At 40.8% G+C, this 23,452-nt stretch overlaps 1 protein-coding gene across 37 annotated transcripts in view, besides 2 other annotated features; it reads right to left on the bottom strand.

Moving 5' to 3' along the window:
- The window catches only part of SP140 (SP140 nuclear body protein), a 130,421-nt gene that overhangs the window by 12,506 nt on the left and 94,463 nt on the right, over window positions 1–23,452 (bottom strand). For 35 of the 37 annotated variants that reach the window (XM_047443073.1, XM_011510517.4, XM_006712223.4 and 32 more), the window contains 7 exons: window positions 19,655–19,720; window positions 18,234–18,314; window positions 16,100–16,174; window positions 13,502–13,606; window positions 11,278–11,420; window positions 9,748–9,795; window positions 6,604–6,645 (listed from right to left, as the gene is read on the bottom strand). In XM_047443073.1, the coding sequence (XP_047299029.1) occupies window positions 6,604–6,645; window positions 9,748–9,795; window positions 11,278–11,420; window positions 13,502–13,606; window positions 16,100–16,174; window positions 18,234–18,314; window positions 19,655–19,720 (560 nt within the window). Of the gene's footprint in view, window positions 1–6,603; window positions 6,648–9,747; window positions 9,796–11,277; window positions 11,421–13,501; window positions 13,607–16,099; window positions 16,175–18,233; window positions 18,315–19,654; window positions 19,721–23,452 lie in introns of those variants that run through there. The other 2 variants (XM_047443080.1, XM_047443081.1) reach the window with 2 other exon arrangements.
- Window positions 14,495–14,695: a silencer, noted in NCBI's record as "peak4075 fragment used in MPRA reporter construct". NCBI's record gives its function as "represses an SCP1 promoter by STARR-seq MPRAs in K562 erythroleukemia cells {active_cell/tissue: K562}" and the evidence as "EXISTENCE:reporter gene assay evidence [ECO:0000049][PMID:32103011]".
- Window positions 15,658–15,807: a silencer, noted in NCBI's record as "silent region_12408". NCBI's record gives its function as "represses an Ori minimal core promoter by ATAC-STARR-seq in GM12878 lymphoblastoid cells {active_cell/tissue: GM12878}" and the evidence as "EXISTENCE:reporter gene assay evidence [ECO:0000049][PMID:35858748]".

The raw sequence follows: 23,452 nt of genomic DNA, 5'->3' as shown, positions 1-23,452 counted from the left end.
TATCCTGAAGCTTTACTGAATTCATTTATCATATCTAGGAGGTTTTTGGATGAGTCCTTAGGGTTTTCTAGGTATACGATCATATTGGCGACCAGCAACAGTTTGACTTCCTCTTTACTGATTTGGATGCCCTTTATTTCCTTCTCTTGTCTGATTGCTCTGCCTAGGACTTCTAGTATCATGTAGAATAGAAGTGGTGAAAGTGGGCATCCTTGTCTTGTTCCAGGTCTCAGAGGGAATGCTTTCAACTTTTGCCATTTCAGTATTATGTTGGCTATGGGTTTGTCATAGATGGCTTTTATTACCTTAAGGTATGTCCCCTCTATGCCAATTTTGTGGAGGGTTTTAATTATAAAAGGTGCTGGATTTTGTCAAATGCTTTTGCTGTCTTTATTGAGATGATCATACAATTTTTGTTTTTAATTCTGATTATGTGGTATATCACATTTGTTGACATGAGCTATGCCCTTTCCTGGTTTTGGTATTAGGGTGATACTGGCTTCATAGAATGATTTAGGGAGGATGCCCTCTTTCTCTATGTTTTGGAATGGTTTCAGTAGGATTGATACCAATTCTTCTTTGAATGTCTGATAGAATTCAGCTGTGAATCAATCCATCTGGTCTTGGCCTTTCTAGTATTGGCAATTTTTTAATTACCATTTCAATCTCACTGCTTGTTACTGGTCTCTTCAGAATTTCTATTTCTGCCTGCTTTAATCTAGGAGGGTTGTATATTTCCAGGAATTTATCCATCCCCTCTAGGTTTTCTAGTTTGTGTGCATAAAGGTGTTCATAGTAGACTTAAGTGATCTTCTGTATTTCTGTGGTGTTGGTTGTAATATCTCCCATTTTGTTTCTAATTGGGCTTATTTGGATCTTCTCTAGTCTTTTCTTGGTTAATCTTGCTAATAGTGTATCAATTTTGTTTATCTTTTCAAATAACCAGCTTTTTGTTTCATATATCTTTTGTATTTTTTTTGTTTCAATTTCATTTAGTTCTTCTCTGATCTTTGTTATTTCTTTTCTTCTGCTGGGTTTGGGTTTGGTTTGTTCTTCTTTCTCTAGTTCCTTCAGGTGTGAACTTAGATTGTCTATTTGTGCTCTTTCAGACTTTTTGATGTAGGCATTCAATGCTATGAATTTTCCTCTTAGCATTGCTTTTCCTGTATCCCAGAGGTTTTGATAGCTTGTGTCATTATTGTCGTTCAGTTCAAAGGATTTTTTCATTTCCATCTTGATTTCATTGTGGACCCAATGATCATTCAGGAGAAGATTATTTAATTTCCATGTACGTGCCTGGTTTTGAGGGTTCCTTTTGGAGCTGATTTCCAATTTTATTCCACTGTGGTCTGAGAGAGTACTTGCTATAATTTCAATTTTCTTAAATTTGTTGAGACTTGTTATGTGGCCTATGATATGGTCTATCTTGGAGAATGTTCCAGGTACTGATGAAAAGAATGTATGTTCTGCAGTTGTTGGGTAGAATGTTCTGTAATATCTGTTAAGTCCATTTGTTCTAGTGTACAGTTTAAGTCCATTGTTTCTTGGTTGACTTTCTGTCTTGATGACCTGTCTAGTGCTGTCAGCAGAGTACTGAAGTCCCCCAGTATCATTCTGTTGCCATCTATCTCATTTCTTAGGTCTAGTAGAAATTGTTTTTGTTTTTGTTTCTGAGATGGAGTCTCACTCTGTTGCCCAGGCTGGAGTACAGTGGTGCAATCTTGGCTCAGTGCAAGCTCTGCCTCCTGGGTTCATGCCATTCTCCTGCCTCAGCTTCCTGAGTAGCTGGGAGTACAGGTGCCTGCCACCACGCCCAGCTAATTTTTTTTTTTTTTTGTATTTTTAGTAGAGATGGGGTTTCACTGCATTAGCCAGGATGGTCTTGATCTCCTGACCTTGTGATCCACCCACCTCGGCCTCCCAAAGTGAGTAATTGTTTTGTAAATTTGGGAACTCCACAGTTAGGTGCATATTTAGGATTGTGCTAGTTTCCTGTTGGACTAGTCCTTTTATCATTATATAAGGTCGCTCTTTGTCTTTTTTAACTGTTGTTGCTTTAAAGTCTGTTTTGTATGATGTAAGAATACCTACTCCTGCTCGCTTTTGGTGTCCATTTGCATGGCATATCTTTTTCTACCCCTTTACCTTAAGTTTATGTGAGTCCTTATGTGTTAGGTGAGTCTCTTGAAGACAGCAGGTGCCTGGTAAATTCCTATCCATTCTGCCATTCTGTATCTTTTAAGTGAAGAATTTAGGTCATTTACATTCAACATTAGTATTGAGATGTGAGGTACTATTCTATTCATCATGCTAGCTGTTGCCTGAATACCTTATTTTTTTCATTGTGTTATTTTTTAATAGGCCTGTGATATTTATGCTTTAGGGGGTTCTATTTTGGTATATTTTGATATATTGTTTTAAGATTTAGAACTCCTTTTAGCAGTTCTTGTAGCACTGGCTTGGTAGTGGTGAATTCTCTCAGCATTTGTTTGTCTGAAAAAGACTTTATCTTTCCTTCATTTATGAAGCTTAGTTTCTTGGATACAAAATTCTTGGCTGATAATTATTTTGTTTAAGGAGGCTAAAGATAGGATCCCAAAGCCTTCTAGCTTGTAGGGTTTCTGCTGAGAAGTCTGCTGTTAATCATTAGATAAGTTTTCCTTTGTAGTTTAGCTGATGTTTTTGCTTCATAGATTCTTTCCTTCATCTTAACTTTAGATAACCTGATGACTCTGCCTGAGTGATTATCTTTTTGTGATGAATTTTCCAGATGTTCTTTGAGCTTCTTGTATTTGGATGTCTAAATCTCTAGAAAGGCCAGCAACATTTTCTTTGATTATTCCCGCGAATATGTTTTCCAAACTTTTAGATTTCTTGCTGAGGAACACAAATTATTCTTAGGTTTGGTCATTTATCATAATCCTAAACTTCGTGGAGGCTTTGTTCATTTTTAAAAAGTTCTTTTTTCTTGTTGGATTGGGTTAATTCCAGAGCCTTGTCTTCGAGTTCTGTAGTTCATTCTTCTACTTGTTCTAGTCTATTGTTGAAACTTGCCAGTGTATTTTGTATTTCTCTAAGTATGTCTTTCACTTCCAGAAGTTGTGATTGATTTTTATTTATGATATCTATTTCTCTGGAGACTTTTTCATCCATATCCTGTATTATTATTTTAATTCCTTTAAGTTGGTTTACACCTTTATCTGGTGTCTCCTTGAGTAGCTGAATAATTGACCTTCTGAATTCTTTTTCTGGCAATTCAGAGATTTCTTCTTGGTTTGGATCCATTGCTGGTGAGCTAACGTGATCTTTTGGGGGTGTTATAGAACTTTGTTTTGTCATTATCAGAATTGTTTTTCTGGTTCCTTCTCACTTGGGTAGACTACGTTAGAGGAAAGATCTGAAACTCAAGAGCTGCTGTTCAGATTCTCTTGTTCCACAGGGTGATCCCTTAATGTGGTGTTCTCCCCCTTCCCCTAGGGATGGGCTTCCCGAGAGCCAAACTGCTGTGATTGTTATTGCTCTTCTGGGTCTAGCCACCCAGAAGAGCTACTGGGTTCTGGGCTGGTACTGGGGAGTATCTGCAAAGGGTCCTGTGATGTGATCTGTCTTCAGTTCTCCCAGTCATGGGTACCAGCACGTGCTCCAGTGGAGGTAGCAGGGGAGTGAAGTGGATTCTGTGAGAGTCCTTGATTGTAGTTTTGTTTAGTACACTGGTTTTCTCAAATGTTGGTTATGCTAGCAGTGAGGTTGTTACAGGGACAGACTCAGGATCTTTGGTTAGCCAGGATGTTACAGGCAGTATAATTAGTTGTTGTTTTCTCCTTCCTGGAGCAAGGTGGTTCTCGTATGAGTGTCTGTAATGACTTGAGTTGGCTGACCTTCGGCGAGGAGGTGGCACTTTCAAGAGACCATCAGCTGCAAGTAATATGAGGGGGATACAAGCTTGACCTAAGTTCACTGGATAAGTATTCGGTTTTCTCAGGTGATGGGTGAGGTCATAGAGCTCCCATGAGCCCCTGTCTTTTGTCTTCAGCTACAGGGGCAGGTAGAGAAAGACCATCAGCTGGGGGCAGGGTTAGGTGTGTCTGAGCTCAGATTCTCAGACAGGGCTTGCTGTGGCCACTGTGGGGGATGAGGGGTGGCTTGCAGGCCAATGGATTTATGTTCCAGAGGGGATTATGCCTGCCTCTGCTGCTTCATACAGTTCACCAGATAAGTAAGGGAAGCCGGCAGTGACAGGCTTCACCCAGCACCCAGGCAGCCAGCAAGGCCAGTCTCACTCCCGCTGTGGTGCCCAACAGCCAACAGAGCCAAATTTATATCCAGGCATCCTTTGCCTGGAGCTAAGATCTTGCCCCAGGAAGAAGCACCCCCATTGAGAAAGCAAGCAGGGCTTTCAGATCTCACCCCTCCCTGCCTGCCATGGCTTCTGCACTTATATCTGTACTTCAGGTTCACACCCCCAGATTCTGACCAGGAAAATTTGTGCTTGGTTAAAATTATTACAAAGTTCAGCTGGAAGCCTCCTTCTCCCCATGGCTCTCTGCAAATTGTACTGGCTGCCCTCCCCAAGGACTGTGAGATAAAGTCAGAAATGGCTTCCCTGGGGACTGAAATGCTTATAGGGATCCTTGGGGAAGGCACCTCTTCCTGCTGCTTATTCTACTTTTATATTTCACCCAGCTTTCTAAATTCATTTCAGCTCTAGGTTAGGTGAAATCCTTCTCCTGTGATCTGGATTTCCAGGTTCCCCAGTGAGGATATGTGTTCAGAGGTGGACTTTTTCCCTCTCACACTTTGAGGACTCACGGTTTTTTGGCTATCTCCCAGAGTTTGCGGTGGCAAGCCACTTCTTTTAAAGGGTGTGTGACTTCCTTCAGTTTTGCTGGTATATTCCTGCAGTGGTTCTTGGAGCAAAAGTTCACAGTGTGAGTCTCAACACGCTGTTCTGTCCATCTGAGTAGGAGGAGCAAGTTAGTCCTGCCTCCTATCTGCCATTTTGTTCTCCAAACCCATCTTTTCAAGAAGAGATTTGATTTCTCTGGTTCTTTGGTTGTTGGCCTGGCTGTACATTAGACTCCTCTCAGGAGAGTATATAAAATGCTAATGTCCTGAACCCAACACCAGAGATTCTGAATCACTGGGTCAGGGTTGAGGCACAGGCACTGGTATTCTTCTTTAGGTGACAGAATAGGCAATTCTATGTATCAGAATTAGTACATCTGGGGATCTTAAACAAATCCTAATGTTCCAGTCATACATAGTCCAGAATGATTAAATTATAATTTCCCCAGAAGTGGGATCCAGGAAACAATATTTTTTTAAAGCTCTTCAAGTGATTCCAGGCTGCAGGACAATATGAGATTCAACCTAAGCAAAGTCTGGTTATGGACGCATGGGGATATTATAAGTCAATGTTGTTACTGGCCTTGGAAAAATTATTAACAGGGGTGACCATACCTTTGCTGGAACTGTTTCCCTCTTCTCCCCACACATATCTGGCTGTGAGCTGTGAAACCTAAACCTCCATGCCTAGTCCATCCAAAATCAGCCACACAAACACTGACTTCCAGGGCTGTTTTAATTATTGAAAAGTCCCTCAGTTGGCCAGACATCAAAATCAGTGTGGAAAAGACCTAAATCTGATTGGAGGACTGCTTTGGAGGTAAGGTGTGTATAAAACTATTTGAGCATCCCTCCTCTGTTAAGTATCATGTGTCAGTGCTATTGCATGATATTCTATGTGAGTGCTGTCCCCCAGAGTTGTGCAAGAAGGTGACCCGGCCTAAAACAGACATCTCACTGCAATGAAAAGAATCAAATCACGATTTCATTTAGAGAAGGGACTCATCCATGATTTTGGCAGAATCCAAAGCAGGCAGTCATATAGCAAGCAGAGAATGGATGGGGCCTGTGGCATCAGAAAGTTTGCATAGTACTGAGCACCAGATAAGCAGTTGAGTTAAAATGCCTCAGGATTTGCTAGGTCGTGATGGTTTCAGTCCTAACCAGCTCAGCACCCTAATGGCTTCCCTGAAACCATCCAAATGAGCTCTGTAAAGGACCCCTTGCCTTGTATGTACTCCTTTACAGGGCTAATGACAGGATCAACACCTGGAACATAATAGCTTGGCCTGGTCTGTTCCTTCTGGCTGATGCTTATGACCATCTTCAACTCTACCTGCACCTTGGAGTGCATTTTTAGGACTTTCCCTTTCATCCACACCACTTACTTGAAAATGCTGTTATCCTCTCACATTTGTTCCTTCCCCCTAATCACCAGGCCAGCCCTACCCATTACCACTTCAGGCTCTGTCTCAAGAGACCTCAGTGGTCTGGAGCTCAGCCTCCCATACTCACTTTCCAGGGGAAATAAGGACATTGGAAGGTTTCTACTGAAACAGATGGAAAGGGTGCTTTCATAATGAGACATCCAAGGCCCAGGCACATCTACCTGGCTTGGGTGATGCAACTGAATTCACACAGCCACATACTCCAGCTGAGACTGAACATGATTCAGGCAACAGCAGTCATGACACAGAACATATGCCTGGAGAAAGGAGTGGAATATTCTGGGGGTCGTAGTTCAGAATTTGTACTTACACAAGGGTCAACTGAGCTATTGTTTTGAGACTTCAGTATTCTCTGTTGAAAAAACAGAAAGATTGATTTATGATATTGAATGCATTGTTTCCATCTATCACTTATTTAAATTTAAATAGTATTCTTTGAAGGGATTCAGGAACCAGTTGTTAAAAAATAATTGGGAAGAGAGAAGGCCAGTAGGCTGGGGTGGCTCCAGTGGTTTAAGTTTCTAAGTAAGCAAACTGAAACCTGATGTAAACAGTAAAATGAAACTAGAGATTTTACCAACTAGAATCTGCCATCTAACCTCTAATTATCATCTTTCTATGATAACCCATTAAATATAGTTTCTCTGTCTTACTCCTGTGTTGGCCTCACTGTCTGGGCTGCTACAGCAGAGTTCTCTGAACCTCTCCTTGTTCTGAGTGCTGCCCAATTCATGAATTGCTCTTTGCTCAAATAAATGCTATAAATTTTATTTTGTCTAAAGTTTTATTTTTGTAAACAGTCTTCCCTTTACCTCATATCTGATTTTTTGGACCTATATATCTACTGAAAGAATAAAAAGTGTGCAAGTACTACCGTTAATCCCAATGCAAGTCCCATTCCCTGCAGGGAGTCTGGACCTAGTTTGCACAGGCCAAGTCAGAGAAGCTCTACTTGTCCTCTTACTTCAAGGGGCCCTCAGGCATATTTCCTAAACTTGGCCTTTGTGTCATCCCACCCAGAGGAGCCTCAATAATAATCAGGCTGAGGACTTATCTCCCACAGCCTCCTGGGACCACAGGACTCAGAGTCCTAGAGGCCATGCAAGTGTCCCAGACAAGAAGAGCACTGCTTTCTGCAGCTCCCCTAGGGACACAGCCCTGGTGATAAAATGCCTCCAAGGTCCTCTGTGCTGCAGCTCTTTTTCCTGAAACTCTCTCCCTCTCCCTTCTATCCAAATCACAAGAAGATGCCAGGTTGACTGACTTTTAAGAGGTAACCCACTACATTTATTTAGATTGCTTTTGGATATCCATGGCATGACTTGGCATCCTTCCCTTCTGGGATACAAGCAGCCTCAGCTTTTGTCTGTAGCCCAGGGCACAGAGGCCATAAACAAGTGTGATTCAAAGGACAAGCACCTGAGAGATGACCTTGTCACTGAATGCCTCTCCAACTGGTCTAGAATCTCCCACCCCACCCCATTTGTAATTCATCCATGTTGACAATAAATTTAAAACTTTTTTTATTTTTTGAGACAGAGTCTCACTCAGTCACCTAGGCTGGAGTGCTATGATGAAATCACAGCCCAGTACAGCTTTGACCTTTCAGGCTCAAGTGATCTTCCCACCTCAGTCTCCTGAGTAGGTGGGACTACAGGTGTACACCACAATGTCTGGGTAATTTTTTTTTTTTTTTGGTAGAGATGGTATCTCACTATGTTGCTCAGGTTGGTCTCAAATTCCTGGGCTCCAATGATTCTCCCATCTCAGCCTCTCAAAATGCTGGCATTATAGGCTCAAGTGACCATGTTTGGCCTGAAATAATTTTTGAGGTCAATCTTCTGTAATGTCCATTGGCATTTAGTGTGTGCTTGATAATTATATGTTGAGTGGGTGAATAAATGAATGTTGATTCACTTAGAAATCACTGGAGGCTCTTAAGCAAACATTAGCATACAACAATTATTCTGGGTGAGTATATCAGATTGCTTTACAATATCTCAGGTGCCACCAAAAGGTCTATGTGGCCCTTGTCATGAGCAGAGATGCTATCATGTGGCACTCATAGTGACACTGAAATTTCCTAAAGCCAAATGGCTCTGCAAGTAAGAGAAGCTCTGAGAGGCACAGAGGACCCATGGAGTTCATAATGGATCCTGGATCTGCCACTTAAGGGACCTTCTGTTCTCCCCCATGAGGAGACACAACATATAGAGGCAACTGCACCTTGTCGCTGCTAAGTTTTGCACCCCAGAATAGAGGGAGAGTCGGTTAGTCGGAAATTGCCAGCTCATTTGGGTCATCCAGACTCAGTTACTCTTGGCACCCGGTGAAAGGTAGAGATGCTGGTCTTTAGTGTAGTCACTGAATAGGTGACATCATAGTTTCCCTTCGGGAAACCCAGTGGATGAAATGTCTCAGTGGCTGAAAATTCAAATCAGCCAGTATATCAGATAATGTAAAGGCCTGCATCTCAGGTTCCCAGTGGAATATGAAGCTTAGTGGCTAGCTATGTGTGAGCTGTTTTAGAAGTCTGTGAATGTCTTGAATGCGTATTTCTACCTGAAGTGCATAAGGATGACATTTTTCTCTTCCCCCTCCTCAGGTTCTCATTCATACCCAGTCTTGGAAAAACCATCACCTTGTCCTGAATATACACTGCACTTAACCTATTTGTTTGTTGCATTCTTCAAGAGAGGGAAAAATCACTTTCACAGATAAAAAGCAGGTCTGCACAGTCCCTCTGGTAGAGCCAAAGAGGTGGCATCAACATAAAAGATTTTCCTGGTCAGCCCCTCCTATAAAATACATTTGCCTCTGGAGATCTTCCTCCTCAGTGGCACCATTGTGGTAACAGGAAATAATTTCACCTTGAGAAGACATTCTGTGTGTCTGTGTGTACATTTTTTTGGAAGGTGAAAGAGAATGTGAAGGATCAGAAAAGAAATATTCTTTTTGTTGCCGATTTCATTAAATGATATATGGTTTCATGCATGTCTCAAATGGATGTGAGCAAATATCTGCTCCATCCTATTTCACTAAAGTTAGAAAATAGTAACTTCAATGAAAAAAATCTGAATTTTGAGTTGAAGGTGATCCTCTCACCTTACTATGAAATATTTTTATGTATCCCATGACCATGCTTGACTTTCCAACTTGGACACTCTTAAGACATCTGCATCTATTGCTAAAACACTCCCAGGACGTATATTCTGATGGCTCCTTATCATCTTCATATGAAATGGTTGAATCCAAACAGGACCTAGCTTTATATACATTTAGTGTTCAAATTAGCGACTCTGAAGGAATACATGCAAAAAGTATTTTAAGGTGAGTAGTGAAGAAGGTGAAAGCTTAATTATTCCTACCCAATTTCAGACCCCATAAAATAAGATTTTGTGCATGCTAAATCAGTTATGTGACAAGAAGCTGTATAAAGCTATGTAATAATCACCTTTTTTTTCCTGTAACGTATTCTTGGAGGATCAGGCAGAAATCCATTCTGAAAGACAAAAAGATTCAGGTATATGGTCAGCCTGTGTTTCCGTTTTGTGAGTCTGGCATTTCCAACCTCCTCCCAAATATTTCTACCTGAGTGTTCCACTGCCAGCTCAAATCCAAGGTGTCTAATGAGAAACCATCTCCCTGTCTTCACCTGTGCTTCTTCTAGACTTCAATCAATAGAAGCCAGAAAAGCATCTTCAGGACCATTTTCCCTTCTCTTGTGCTTCTTTCCTAAGTCCTAAGAGGTTTTCCTTCACAATCTCATACCACCTATCACCTCTCTTCCAGTCCCACCAGTGCCACTCCAGCTGGAGTCCTTACACCAGAGCTATCCAAGCAGCACACACATTGCCTGCTACTGGGTATCAGTAATTCTGATCAATCTTGGGCACATGAAGATGGGACAACCTAAAGGAGTCTACGGACAAAAAGCACTCACAAAATAATAAATATAAAACAGTGAATGAAAGGCCTTAGTAGAGGGCTCAGGAGCCCTGGGAAGGCCTGGTCAATGGCCCATGACAGGTCAATCAATGAACATTCAGGAAGGGGTAACACTTGAACTGAGCATTCTAGATTGAGTATAGGTTTGCTAGGGGGAAAGCCCCGTGGCTGTCTAAAATACTGTTTTATGGCGGGGCGGGGTGGCTGTCGCCTGTAACCCCAGCATTTTGGGAGGCCGAGGAGGCCTCCCGCTTGACGCCAGGAATTCGAGATCAGCCTGGCCAACGTGACAAAACCCCATTTCTACTAAAAATACAAAAATTAGCCTGGCATGGTGGTGCACAACCGTAGTTCCAGCTACTCGAGAGGCTGAGGCACAAGAATCACTTGAATCTGGGAGGTGGAGGTTGCAGTGAGCCGAGATTGAGCCACTGCACTCCTGCTTGGGCAACAGAGTGAGACTGTCTCCTAAAAATAAATAAATAAAATAAAATATTGTTTTAAATGTCATTTCCAATCCTAGAAGATTTCACTGAATCCTTGTTATCTCAATTACAGGTTTAAACTCCTTAGCCTGGCATTAAAGCCCTGCACAACCTGCCCCAATTGTTAAATTATACCTAATTGCACACAACCTGTGCTACCTAAATCCACAGAGCTACTTTTGCCATGGTTCTGGTTTTCATGGCATTCTGGCTTTTATGCCATTCTTTCTCTGAAGTGTCTTCTTCCACTGCTTGACTGTCAACTCCCTTCTTTCTTTCAGTGCACAAAGCTGTCTGCATGCACCCTAGTCAGAATGACCCTTTCCTCCTCCAAGCTGCTGAGTCTATCCTGACGGAGCCCCTGGTACAACGTCAATGTGTTGCACTGTAGTGTGGTTATGAATGTGGGGTCCCTCTCTCCTGAGTGAGAGGATAAACCCACTGGCATCAAGGCTTTAGCTATAACCTAACAAATATTTGGTGAATAAACAGTCTCCTCATTATTAGGGAACAAGAAGGAACACAGGCCTGGCCCCTTGTCATTGGAATACCTCCATCAGCCATCGTAGGGGCCACCCGCCACAGCGCACACTCAGCCTCCAGTTCTTTGATCTTGCATGGCCTCCTTTGATTTCAAATTCCGTGGGGGTGAACCATTTTCCATCCTCAGTCTGTATACACTTCACCAAGATTCCTGTAAGACCAGGGTAACTTGATCCTGAGCCCTCTTTTTTCCCAGCGCACAGACTATGGCCACTCACCACACTGGATCTAGAGCCACCCAATTTGTGATGCAGATCAATAGCAGGAGAGTCTGGCCTTCCCTCTCAGACTACAGAGGCCCCAAATCCAGCCTGAAAATCCCCTCTAAGGATATTTCCTGGTGGGGGTGCACATTTCTTTGACCTTCATCCATGAGGAGAGTGATGGTTATCATCAAGAGCAACCTTTTAAGCATTTCAAAAGCACTTACAGAAGGAAAAGCAAGTGATTCTGAAAGATGAGAGGACTCCAACTTGCTATTCAAATTTGGAAGTAGAGGCCAGGCCTGAGTCTCCAGATGGCTGTGAGGGCAATGTTGGAGGCAGAATCCTCAACTTGGGGCTACGGTCTCAGATGGGTGCCCTGTGGCTCAGGGGGTCACTCCCGCAACATCTGCACTCTCAATTATAACATGTTTTATGCAGTCTAGTGGCATTATTAAACAGAAATTTTCATATCCCTGCAATCACAGGTAGCTGATATTAAAAAACTAATTGTGAAATGTTATCTGATAAAAAATTTAATTTATATGTAAAAGATAGTCACATGCTCAACACCATTAGCCATTAAGGAAACACAAACCAAAACCAAAATGAGATACCATGTCATACCCACTAGGATGACAGTATGACTGTAATAAAAAAAGACAGACAGACGATAACAAAGTTGGTGAGCATGTAGAGAAATTGGAGCCTTCATACATTGCTGGTAGGAATACAGAATAGTGCAGCCACTGTGGAAACACTTTGGTGATTCCTCAATAAATTAAACATAGAATTACCATACGATGTAGTCATTCCTCTCTTGACTATATACCCAAAAGAACTGAAATATGTTCACACAAAACTTGTTACACAAATGTTCAGAACAGCATTATTTATAATAGCCAAAGAGTGGAAATAGTTCCAAATGATGAGTTTATAAACAAAGTGTGGTATATCTATACAATGACATATATTATTTGTCAATAAAAGAAATGAAATACTAATACATTCATTGTGGATGAACTTTGAAAATATCACAATTAGTGAATGAAGGCAGTCAGGAAAGGGCATGTATTATAGGATTCCACTTCTAGAAAGCCTACAGTAGGCAAACTTATAGAGCAGAAAATAGATTAGTGGCTGCTTAGGTGGGAATAGGCACTGACTGCTAATTGACATGGGCTTTTCTTTCAGTGGGGAACAAATTGTTCCAAAATTAGAGGATAATGATGGCTGTACAATTCTGTGACTATACAAAAAAAAGTTGATTTGTACACTCTAAGTGGTGAGTTGTATGATATGTGAACTATATCTCAGTAAAGCTGTTTAGAAATAGTCACAATGCAAACATTTCTGTTAATTGACATCCAAAGAGTCATATTAAGATTGGTCTGAGATGATGGCCATTCTAATAGACATTTTTTGGCAAAGTTTTATAATTTACAGTAAAAACATGTAAATTTACATATTTTACATCAATATGCAAATTAATTCTCACAGCTACATCATGAGGCAGGTTTTTCATTATTGTTCCCTCTCTTGGATGAGACATTTCAGGTTCAGAAAGGTTCCCTTCTCTACTCAGAATGGAACAGTCACTCCTGAAACAGCAAAGGCTGGAACTCAGGCTTTCTGATCCCAAATTCTGTGATCATCTCCCTATACCAAGCACCCTGCCCTGGTGATGGCACTCCAGAAGGGAGAGAGAATATGAAGGTCGAGGTTGAGGGCCTCTTCATTTTTCTGTCTGATTCAAAGTAAAATACGTGACATTTTTCATCTGTGAATTGATGTTCCTGCCTTCTCTTTGGTTCTTTGGGCACCCTCTGGACATTCCATGTGCAAGTGAGCATCTGGTGGTTGCGATTTCTTAAAGTCTGTAAACGTCATCTTAGAAATCCCTTCCTCCTTCCCTCAAGCCAAACTGGGACCAAACTCCTTGAATGATGTGTAATTCACATGATAATTCCCCACTACTTGTGATGCCTTCAGATAGGAGCTGCAAATTAAAGAAGACCATAAAACCTACCTTGCTGCAATTTCTTCTTATGTAAAATTCCCTTCACCCCACCACAGGTCACTGGAAGCAAAGGAGCCTTAAAATCCACAGTTTCATCTTTGTGCTTTCTTGAAGCTGAAAGAGAGGATTTCTTCATTCTGTCTCACTTTGCAAAGGCACGTCCCCCCTCCCTACTGAGGTAATTCCTATAAAGACACGAGGGATACTTAGGAAATTCTATTCCAAAACCCTCTAGAGTTTCAAAGTCTTTCTTCCAAGTGGCATTTTTGATACATAATTACAGAATGTCTACCCCAATTTCACCTTTCAAATTTCATACAAAATAGAATGCTTTAGCAGAGAAATTAGACTTCAGTAAAACTGGTTTAACTCCTAATCTCGTAAGCTCCACTGATTCTTATATGACAATGAAACACAGTTGCTGTCACTGTTCTGACAGAAGCTCTCCAGCTATGCTGTTTTGCTGCAGGTGGGTAGCCTTAGATGACTCCAGAGATCATATTCAGTCTCCCCATTTGAGCACTGACGGGGCAAGCAGGGAGAGGGTAATGATGGGATAACCTAATGGAGATGATGTCTGCCTTCTATTTTTGTTCTCTCCTTTAGTTCATTTCTCTGTCCTGTCTGCTTTCCCCGTAGCTAAGAGAAGAGCTCAGGGAGCTCTAGAATAATCTGAAAATTATATGGGGTTGCAGGTGGGGGACTGGAGACCTGATTTCACAGAGAAGGGGGTGAAAGGTCTTCAAAGGAACTCCAGGAGGGTGAGCAGTGAATCCTTCCCTTCCAACCAAAGGTGTAGGGCCAGGCGTGGTGGCTCACACCTGTAATCTCAGCACTTTGGGAGGGCAAGGCAGGTGGATCACTTGACGTCAGGAGTTCGAGACCAGCCTGGCCAACATGGCGAAACTCCATCTCTACCAAAAATACAAAAATTAGCCAGGTATGGTGGTGCCCACCTGTAATCCCAGCTACTTGGGAGGCTAAGTCAGGAGAATTGCTGGATCCTGGGAGGTGGAGTCTGCAGTGAGATCACACCACTGCACTCCAGCCTGGGCAACAGAAGTCATGATAAACGGGGGAGCTGTCCTTGGTCCTGAGACAAATTTTTAGAAAGGCAGACTATTAGGACCAGGATGGACTAATAAGAAAGATGGTTGGCCTACCTACAGAATGAAAGAAAATTTTTGCAGTCTATCTATCTGACAAAGGGCTAATATCCAGAATCTACAAGAAACTTAAAACAAATTTACAAGAAAAAAACAACCCCATCAAAAAGTGGGCAAAGGATATGAACAGACACTTCTTAAAAGAAGACACTTATCTGGCCAACAAACATGAATAAAAGCTCATCATCACTGGTCATTAGAGAAATGCAAATCAAAACCACAATGAGATACCATCTCACGCCAGTTAGAATGGCAATCATTAAAAAGTCAGGAAACAACAGATGCTGAAGAGGATGTGGAGAAATAGGTAAGCTTTAACACTGTTGGTTGCAGTGTAAATTAGTTCAACCGTTATGGAAGACAGTGTGGCGATTCCTCAAGGATCTAGAACCAGAAATACCATTTGACCCAGCAGTCCCATTACTGGATATATACCCAAAGGATTATAAATCAGTCTACTATAAAGACACACACACGTGTGTTTATTGCAGCAGTGTTCACAATAGCAAAGACTAGGAACCAGCCCAAATGTCCATCAATGATAGACTGGATAAAGAAAATGTGGCACATATACACCATGAAATACTATGCAGCCATGAAAAAGAATGAGTTCCTGTCCTTTACAGGGACATGGATGAAGCTGGAAACCATCATTCTGGGCAAACTAACACAGGAACAGAAAACCAAACATCACATGCTCTCACTCATAAGTGGAAGTCGAACAATAAGGACACATGGACACAGGGACAGAACATCACACACCGGGGCCTGTCGGGATTTGGGGGTTAGGGGAAGGATAGCATTAGGAGAAATACCTAATGTAGATGATGGGTTGTAGAACCTGCACATTCTACACGTGTATCTCAGAACTTAAAGAATAAAAAAAGAAAGAAAGAAAGAAAGAAAGAAAGAAAGAAAGAAAGAAAGAAAGAAAGAAAGAAAGAAAGAAAGATAGTTGGCCTAATTCATGCTCTTGCTTTCCAGATGAGAAAACTGAGACAAAGAAAGTCAAATGATCAGCCTAAGCCCACACAAAGAAAAAGAAAGTCTTAGGACACAGATCTCTAACCACAACTCTTTTTCACCCTTAGTGTGCAACCTGTGGCTTTCTGAGTAGTCAGAGGAAGGTCAGTTAAATCACTTATGGGTTATACCCTTTATACGGCAATGAACTATCTCCAGCCTTGAAATTTATCATTTCAGTGAAAGTAGCACTTTAGTGGCCCCTGGGCCCCTGGGATCTGGTTGTAGATCCATCACCAACTTACTTCCTTCTTTCCTTGACACATTTTGGAAAATGACTAAATAGGATACATTTCTCACTAGTTAGTACAGCTTCATAAAACAATTAAGGAAATGGGTTTATTACTGAAAGTACAGTGTACCGCACAGGAAATTAGATGTTTAGTTATTGAAAGTTCATTCCTGTTTTCTTTTTTACCTCTTGATCGGACTCTTTTCTGTGCAGCTCTGTCACTCTGAGTGAAGCGGGTTCCAGGTTTGCCTCTCTTTCTCCCTGAGAAAGTAGAATAATATAATCACAGTCATTTATGAGCAGCTGTATTACACATATTACAGCTTTTCAAAAATTCCATTTAAATGTAACTTTCCAAAAGCCTGTTTAATGTATAAATAAAAAGATTTAAACCCTAGCCTTTAAGGTATGAAGAATTAGATAGCTAATGTTAGGTTCACTTTATATTTCATTTTCCTATTCTTATGTTAGGAAAAAAACTAATTGAAATCAGTATTTCACGTATATCTCAAGCAAAAGTATAAATGCTTCATTCCATATTTTGAAGGTTCATTTCATATTTCATTCCAAACATATATATTTGAAATATATATGACATATAATACACATTAAACACTTACATATCCATTAATTTATTTAATCTTTGCAAGATCAAAATGATGATTACCGTCATTACAGAAACTAAAATATTCAGAGAAAATTGAGACAAAACTACAAAATTAAGTGAAGGCGTTTCAGTTTCTCTCAGCAGAGACACAAATAAATGACAGTTCTGTGACTTAAGGGAAACCCTATTAGGTGTCCCATAGGTGAGATGTATGCTGCACATGTCACATTGGGGGAAGATATTTGTACCCTCGTGCTGAAAGTAATAGTAAATGTGACCAGGGCTTTGTCCACATGGCTTTGGACAAAATAAATATTAGGATCTAAGAAACTAATCAGAAGAAGGTTAACCATGAGGAATGGGTAGAATTGAGATTTCCGCAGCCTTCATTCCAAATAGTAATTAAGGATTGACATGGCAGACACTGCAGCCGATGATATTCTCCCAAGTGCATGTTAATTGGCTGTGAATGGGCATCTCAATGTTTACTATTGTCCAAATGTGTTTTATTTTCCAAGGCAGGAAAGCAAAATGTTCCTTCCTTCTTGTGCTGGATGTCCACCATCCAATGACCACCATCTGGGGGTGCTGATCAGGGTCATGTAGGCCCATGAGGAAATATTTTCCAGCCTATGCATTCCTAAGTACTATAAGTTCTAAGCATATCATGAGCATATTAGGCCACCAAAGTAAAAAGGACCAATCAGACCCAAAGTGGACCTATGGCTTGGAAATGAGAGTTTCATTGGGAAAATTGAGAAAGTCCCAAGCAAGTAGGTTGAGTTGAGCACCCGCATCCTAGGACAATGCACCAGGCCACATATGTAACCTTAGAAAGAGTTGGTGGAACTGATTATGCCAGGTTCAGCCCTTCACTCACATCCAGGTTGTAGAAGTAAAGCTCTATTTCTTTCAAAATAAGTCAAGCTGTGATGCCTGACCCCTCCCCTTCCCTTGCAGTGGACTTGATGAAAGCATCTCATGGAAGAAAGAGCTAGTGATTGTGCATCAACCACTTGCAATGTCATTTCACGGCTGCACCTGTCAGGCAAGACACTTCCACACTCTGATCTCACCCATCTCTCTCACCTCCCCAATCCTGGATGGGACCAAGCCAACAGCTATGGAGTGGGGGTAGGGCCAAGACAGAATAAGAGAAGACACTGACCATGTCACCCCCAACTATATGTGTTCCAGACTAAGGCTTGCCTAGGCTGAAGAAGCGAAGGTGCTTTAAACTGGGGAAGACATTGTAGTTTAATACTAGGTCAGAAAGGTCCCAACTACTGAAATGAGACTCTTACTGTTTTTAAAAGGGAACAAGAAAGCGACAGAGCTTGCTCAAGACAGGAAAGAACTCATCTAGGAGGAGGACTTGAAAGGGCAGTGAGAGAATAAACCTGTATTCGGCTTACAATTTACCAGGTCCAGCCATTTTAATAAAACAATGATTTGAGGCAAAGGAATTTCCAGGAAAATGAGATAAAACACAGAGGAAAACTATTTTAGAAACTGGGCAGATAAGATCTATGATATGAATACAATCAACTTACAACCCCTGCTTATAATGAGTTTGCTCTTTTAGATTTCACTGCTCTCCAATTGACTAAGCTTGATGAGTAAACAATTAAGGTGGATCTAGGCTCGTCAATACCTCAGTAAAATTTGTATTGACCTGTAGGGCAAAGGGAAAGCGGACAAACTTTATCTTACCCCTAATCTTGGAAAGGTCTTTCAGATTCACGTTCGCCTTCTTTTCACTGGAGACCACCTGGCCGTCGGCTTTGCTATTATCTGGGGATAGGCAGGGGAAAATGTATTAATAGAACTGGGCAGAACAACAGCTGTCAGGCAGGAACAAACGCAAGTGAGGGAGTCCTGGGTCTCATTCTGGATCCCCTCGAGCAGGTGTCCAGAGCATTTTTTGCTTTTGGGAGTGTCGACTTTTAAGTTACACACAGGATTTAATTGCACATTGAAGTCTCTTAGAATTTGTCTACATACACACAGACTTAAATGAGAATGTTATAATGATTCAGACTTAAATGAAAATGTTATAATGATTGAGTCCAAACAAATTTTCAATTTGAAAACAGCCATTCTTAAAATGCACGCAGCCACTTTTTTTTCTTTCCAAACAAAGCTGTCACATCCACCAACCAGGAAGCCACATCAACTGGCAAGATTGGTAAAAATTAATAACTTTCAATAGGACTCTAAAATCTTACTATTTAGATCCACTGATTCAAAATTGACAATCATTTAGAAAATGAGACTTAGCCTTCATCGTCTAGAAGAATGGAAGTCCTCAGACCATGGCTAAAATAAATTTTGAAAATTTCAGGGGCCTGATTATAAAGAATAAATATATTTACAGGAAATTCAGAAAATAAAATGATATGAAACATCACCATTGGAGATAGCCACAGATGAGGATGGCTATCTCCAGATGATGATTTGTGCAAAAATATTCTCCTAGTCTTTTCTTTTTGCATATGTTACTTTTTGAATAACACTTTTTCATTAAAAATGTTGAAGATTTATAATATTTTAATATATACACATACATTTAAAAACCACAGATAAAAATATATAAACATCACCTCTATTACACTGACCAAATGTAACCACTGCATATATTTTTATGAATGAACTGCCATCTATTTTTCTATATTTATGTCTTTTTATATGTACAGATAAATAATTACATATGTGTATATCAGGATACATAAAAATATACTTCACAAGTATGAATTTCACATAAAATATGGTTATACATATATGTATGTTTACTATTGTGCACACATACACATACACCCTGATTTCTTCATTTAGCCCTCTTAGGAATGTCTTTCCAAATTAATAAAAATACTTTGAGCTAGGAAAGAAAGTCATACTGAGGATGATAACACCTCCCTATTAACTGTGGGCCTCTGGACTATTACATGCATTAGAAACCATTTTGTTGAAGCCATTGCATTCTCAGGCCTCTTTGTCACAGCCTGTTAGTCTACATCCTAATGGATACAGGAGGTATAGAACTCTGGCTCTGGGGAACTGCAGGCCTTCCAGAATACAATGGACAGTGCCCTAATAAACTCAAAAGCTGTAACTACTTCACTTTGCCTGCTTACCATTTTGTTGGCTGTTTTCCTGCCTTCTCATTCTCATTCTGCTCCAGCCATGCCCCCTCTTTTTTCCTTCAAACCAAAGAGAATAAAGTTAATTATGCAGAGGTATAAATATAATTCTCTGAGTTTTATATGCCAATAGTATTAAAGATTTTTTTTCATACTTTGGTCCGCAGGAATGGGGCAAAATACTTTATGATCAGTGTAGCAGCGTGGAGGTTGAGTACAGAGTTATATTTTACCTCTGCATGAGCCTTGGGCCATGGGCTTGGGAGAGACTACAGGAGATGACGTTCCTTTGAACAAAATTTTTAATGGAAAATTAACTCTTGCTGGCACCTTAAAGTGAATGATAACTGCTGTTTCATGTTGCTTTTTCAAGTGTTTGTTGTGTAAATTCAAATGTGCAATGAGAGGACATCCTCCTTGAGGTTGATGGTGTTATGGATAATATTCTGTGTTGGAAATTGGGAGATATTCTGAACTCTGATATGGAGAGTTTTCATTATGTAATTACATAATCATTATAGAATTTCTATATAGTTTCCTTAAATAATCTCAGCACTGCCTCCACACTGTCAGCCCTCCTTCAGGCTGCAGAGCAGCTGACTCCAGGAACGCTATGGTGACCCCAGAAACTCATCAGTGTCCTCAAACTGGCCATCTGGGCCATTTGCAGTCTGACGTGCCCTTTATCAGAAAAGTGACTCCACAGTGCACTGATTTTCTGACTGTCCCTCATCTCCTCCTGTCCGCACACTATGGGAGGGCAGTAGGCTCATTGAAGGGAGCAATCTCCAGAAAGGGATCATCTCCTTCCTGGATAGTGACCAGGACAAAAGTGGTGGGGATTGCGAGTGTTCTGTAGACCTATCTTGAAAATTCAGGATTCTGTTGTGACCCTGGTCATTCCTAGGGATGATGCCTCATTCTTTCCCCTACCAGCCTGGTGGCTATGGCCTTCAAAGTGCCTAGGGATTCAGATTTAACTCCAGGCACATTTTATAAAATGCTTTTCCTCTACTTCTATCTAATTTTGTAGATGGAAAGTCTAAGTGAGAAAAGGAGATAATTAGGGCAAAAGATGAAGGTACAGCCACTGGAATGGTATAGCAGATTTTGCAGCAGTGAAGCAAGAGCAAAAATCCAGACATCTAAAGAGGTATGGGAGAAAACAGGAGCATTGGTGATATCTGTCTTTCAGAAGAACCCAAGGATGCTTTGTCCAGAAGGAAAACACACTACTCCAGCGCTCCCGCCTCTGAGAATGCTGAGTCAGCCTCTCTGCACCAGCCATGAGATGGCAGGGGCTGGGCCCAGCTTCTGAGGTCCCACACAGAACCCTCTAGACATAGTCTCCACCACTATTCTCAGTCATTTGTTAGGGGGGACTGCCACCTGGTTGGTGACATGGACAAATAGGACAGATTGGACAGACTGTCCTCAAGCAGTCCCCCATATGCCCACCCTCTCCCCAGCCACACACAAACAAATCAAGGATAAACAGAACTGGGAACCCCAAGGCTTACAGCCAGCCAGGAGCCACGTAAGAGACACTGTTCACCTTCTCCCTTACTAATGTACATCCCACTCAGGGAAGCCCAACAATTGTATACACTTCCCTTCTGGGAGCACCACGTGTGCCCTTGGGATTGTGCTTCTTGTATGAAAGCCAGGCACTAACTTGCCTCCCTCACATAAGGACTTGTACCTTAGAGGTGCTCATAAGGGACCTAGATCGTTTACAGTTTATGAAATGTGTGTGGGTACGTGTGTGTGTGTAGATACGGGGTCTCACTATGTTGTCCAGGCTGGTTTTTGAACTCCTGACCTCAAGTGATCCTCCTGTATTGGCCTCCCAAAGTACTGGGATAACATGAGTGAGCCGCTGCACTGGGTCAAGATTTGTTAAATGTTGCAGGAAAAAAATTGAATGGATGTGGACCCATGGGTCCGAATAATCAGAGTGGCTGATGGGGTGGTGTCTTCATGGGGAAATTTGCCAGAAGCAAAAATGTGGGGTGAATTTGCTGGGAGGCCATTCTCCATGGCATTTCTACGTGCCTCAGAGTATCACTTCAAGGATATTTGAATACCAAAGCGGCCTTGGAAGCTAGAGATCATGTAGCCTCCAGATTATAGGGCAAATGTATCCCTGACCAGTATAAAGTAGAGAACATCTCCCTCCTTAGAAATTTTCCAGAGGAGATGCCTCCAGAAGAGATTTGCTTAAGATCCCCAGAGGAGATTTGCTTAATATCCCCAGAGGAGAATTGCTTAAATTCCAGCTAAAAAGATAATGTCTCCCTCAGAGGTAAGGTTTGGGCAGGTTTGCTATTGGTCCCCTTATAATCCCATAGGTTTCCTCAGTGAAGCATTCTTCTGCTGCTGCACACACCTATGAGTGCAGCATCCACCTGGGCTTGCTCTGCACCATCCTTTTCATGGGTCCTGGGGGAAAGAACTGATGCATCTACTCTATATCCCGGCAATTTTGTTTCTAGGTATTTATGCAGGAGATACGAAAAAACAGGAAGACTCCTACAAGAATGTACTCAGCAGAGTTTTCATAATAGCAAAAACTTAAAAAACTCGAGGTGTCCATCAATAGGAGAATTATAAACAAAATTTGGTATATCCAGATAATGTACACTACTTAGCAATGAAAAAGAACAAACTACTGAGACATCCAACAATATGGATGAATCTCAAAAACATGCTGTGTGAAATAAATCCCACTCTAAAGAGAATATGCTATAAAACCTTATTTATATAAAGTTTTTTAAAAGCCAAATTATCATAGTTAAAAAGAAGAGTAGTGATTGCCCTGATGGATAGTGGGTGGAGATACACCAGAAAGGGCGTAAGGAACCTTTCCAGGGTGATGATCATGTTCTGTATCTTGATAAGAATTTTGATGGTGCAGAAAAATGCAGTTATAAGAACTCATCAAATGGTACACTTAATACTTGTGCATTTCATTGTAAATTTTATCTTAACAAAAGAACTCTAAACATACATTGAACTCTACTTAATGATATACATTCTGACGTAGTTGAGGGGGAATAGTGCTAACGTCTGCAGCCTTGAAATGTTTCAAACTTGACCACCGGTTAGTGAGTGGATAGAGAAATGCATAGATGAATAGAAAAGTGATAAAGCAGGAATGATACAATGTTAATTGTGAATCTATGTGAAAGTATATTGATGTTTAGTGTACAATTCTCCCAAGTCTTCTGTATGCTTAAAATTTTCGTGATTAAATTTTGGGGAATAAAAGCTTTTAGAGAGAAAGGACAGAATATTTACCAAGAAGTTACAGTTAGTTACAATAAGAGAATAATTGTTATTAGCCACACCATAGATTCCAGGAAATAATATAGTAATCACCTTACTATACTGAGAAGAAATAAATTATCGACCTGGAATTTTTAATGTAGCTAAAAAGTTCTATCAAAGTAAAGAAAAAGTTGTACACCCAACACTTACAGAGTTTACCACTTAGAGATCACTCACTAGAAAAAACAAAGAATTTACTTCAGCTAGACAAAAAGTGAAACCAAAGAAAAAGAACAATGGTGAGTATACAAAATATTTTTTTAAATTAAGTAAATATCAACTGTAAAAATGATAATAGTTTCAAAATTTATAGTTAAAAATAAAATATTAAACAATAGCCAAAATGGTAGAGATGGGGTGTTCAGTTTGTAGTGAAACCATGATAAGATCCTTGTCATCTTTTGGGATTGGGGCATAATTTAAAAGCTTACAGAAATTTTATCTTTAATTTCCAAACCAGCA

Source organism: Homo sapiens, chromosome 2 (assembly GCF_000001405.40).
Source record: "Homo sapiens chromosome 2, GRCh38.p14 Primary Assembly".
Classification (NCBI taxonomy): domain Eukaryota; kingdom Metazoa; phylum Chordata; class Mammalia; order Primates; family Hominidae; genus Homo; species Homo sapiens.
The sequence above is the reverse complement of the archived record's forward strand: the minus strand, read 5'-3'. Positions and strand labels throughout refer to the sequence as shown.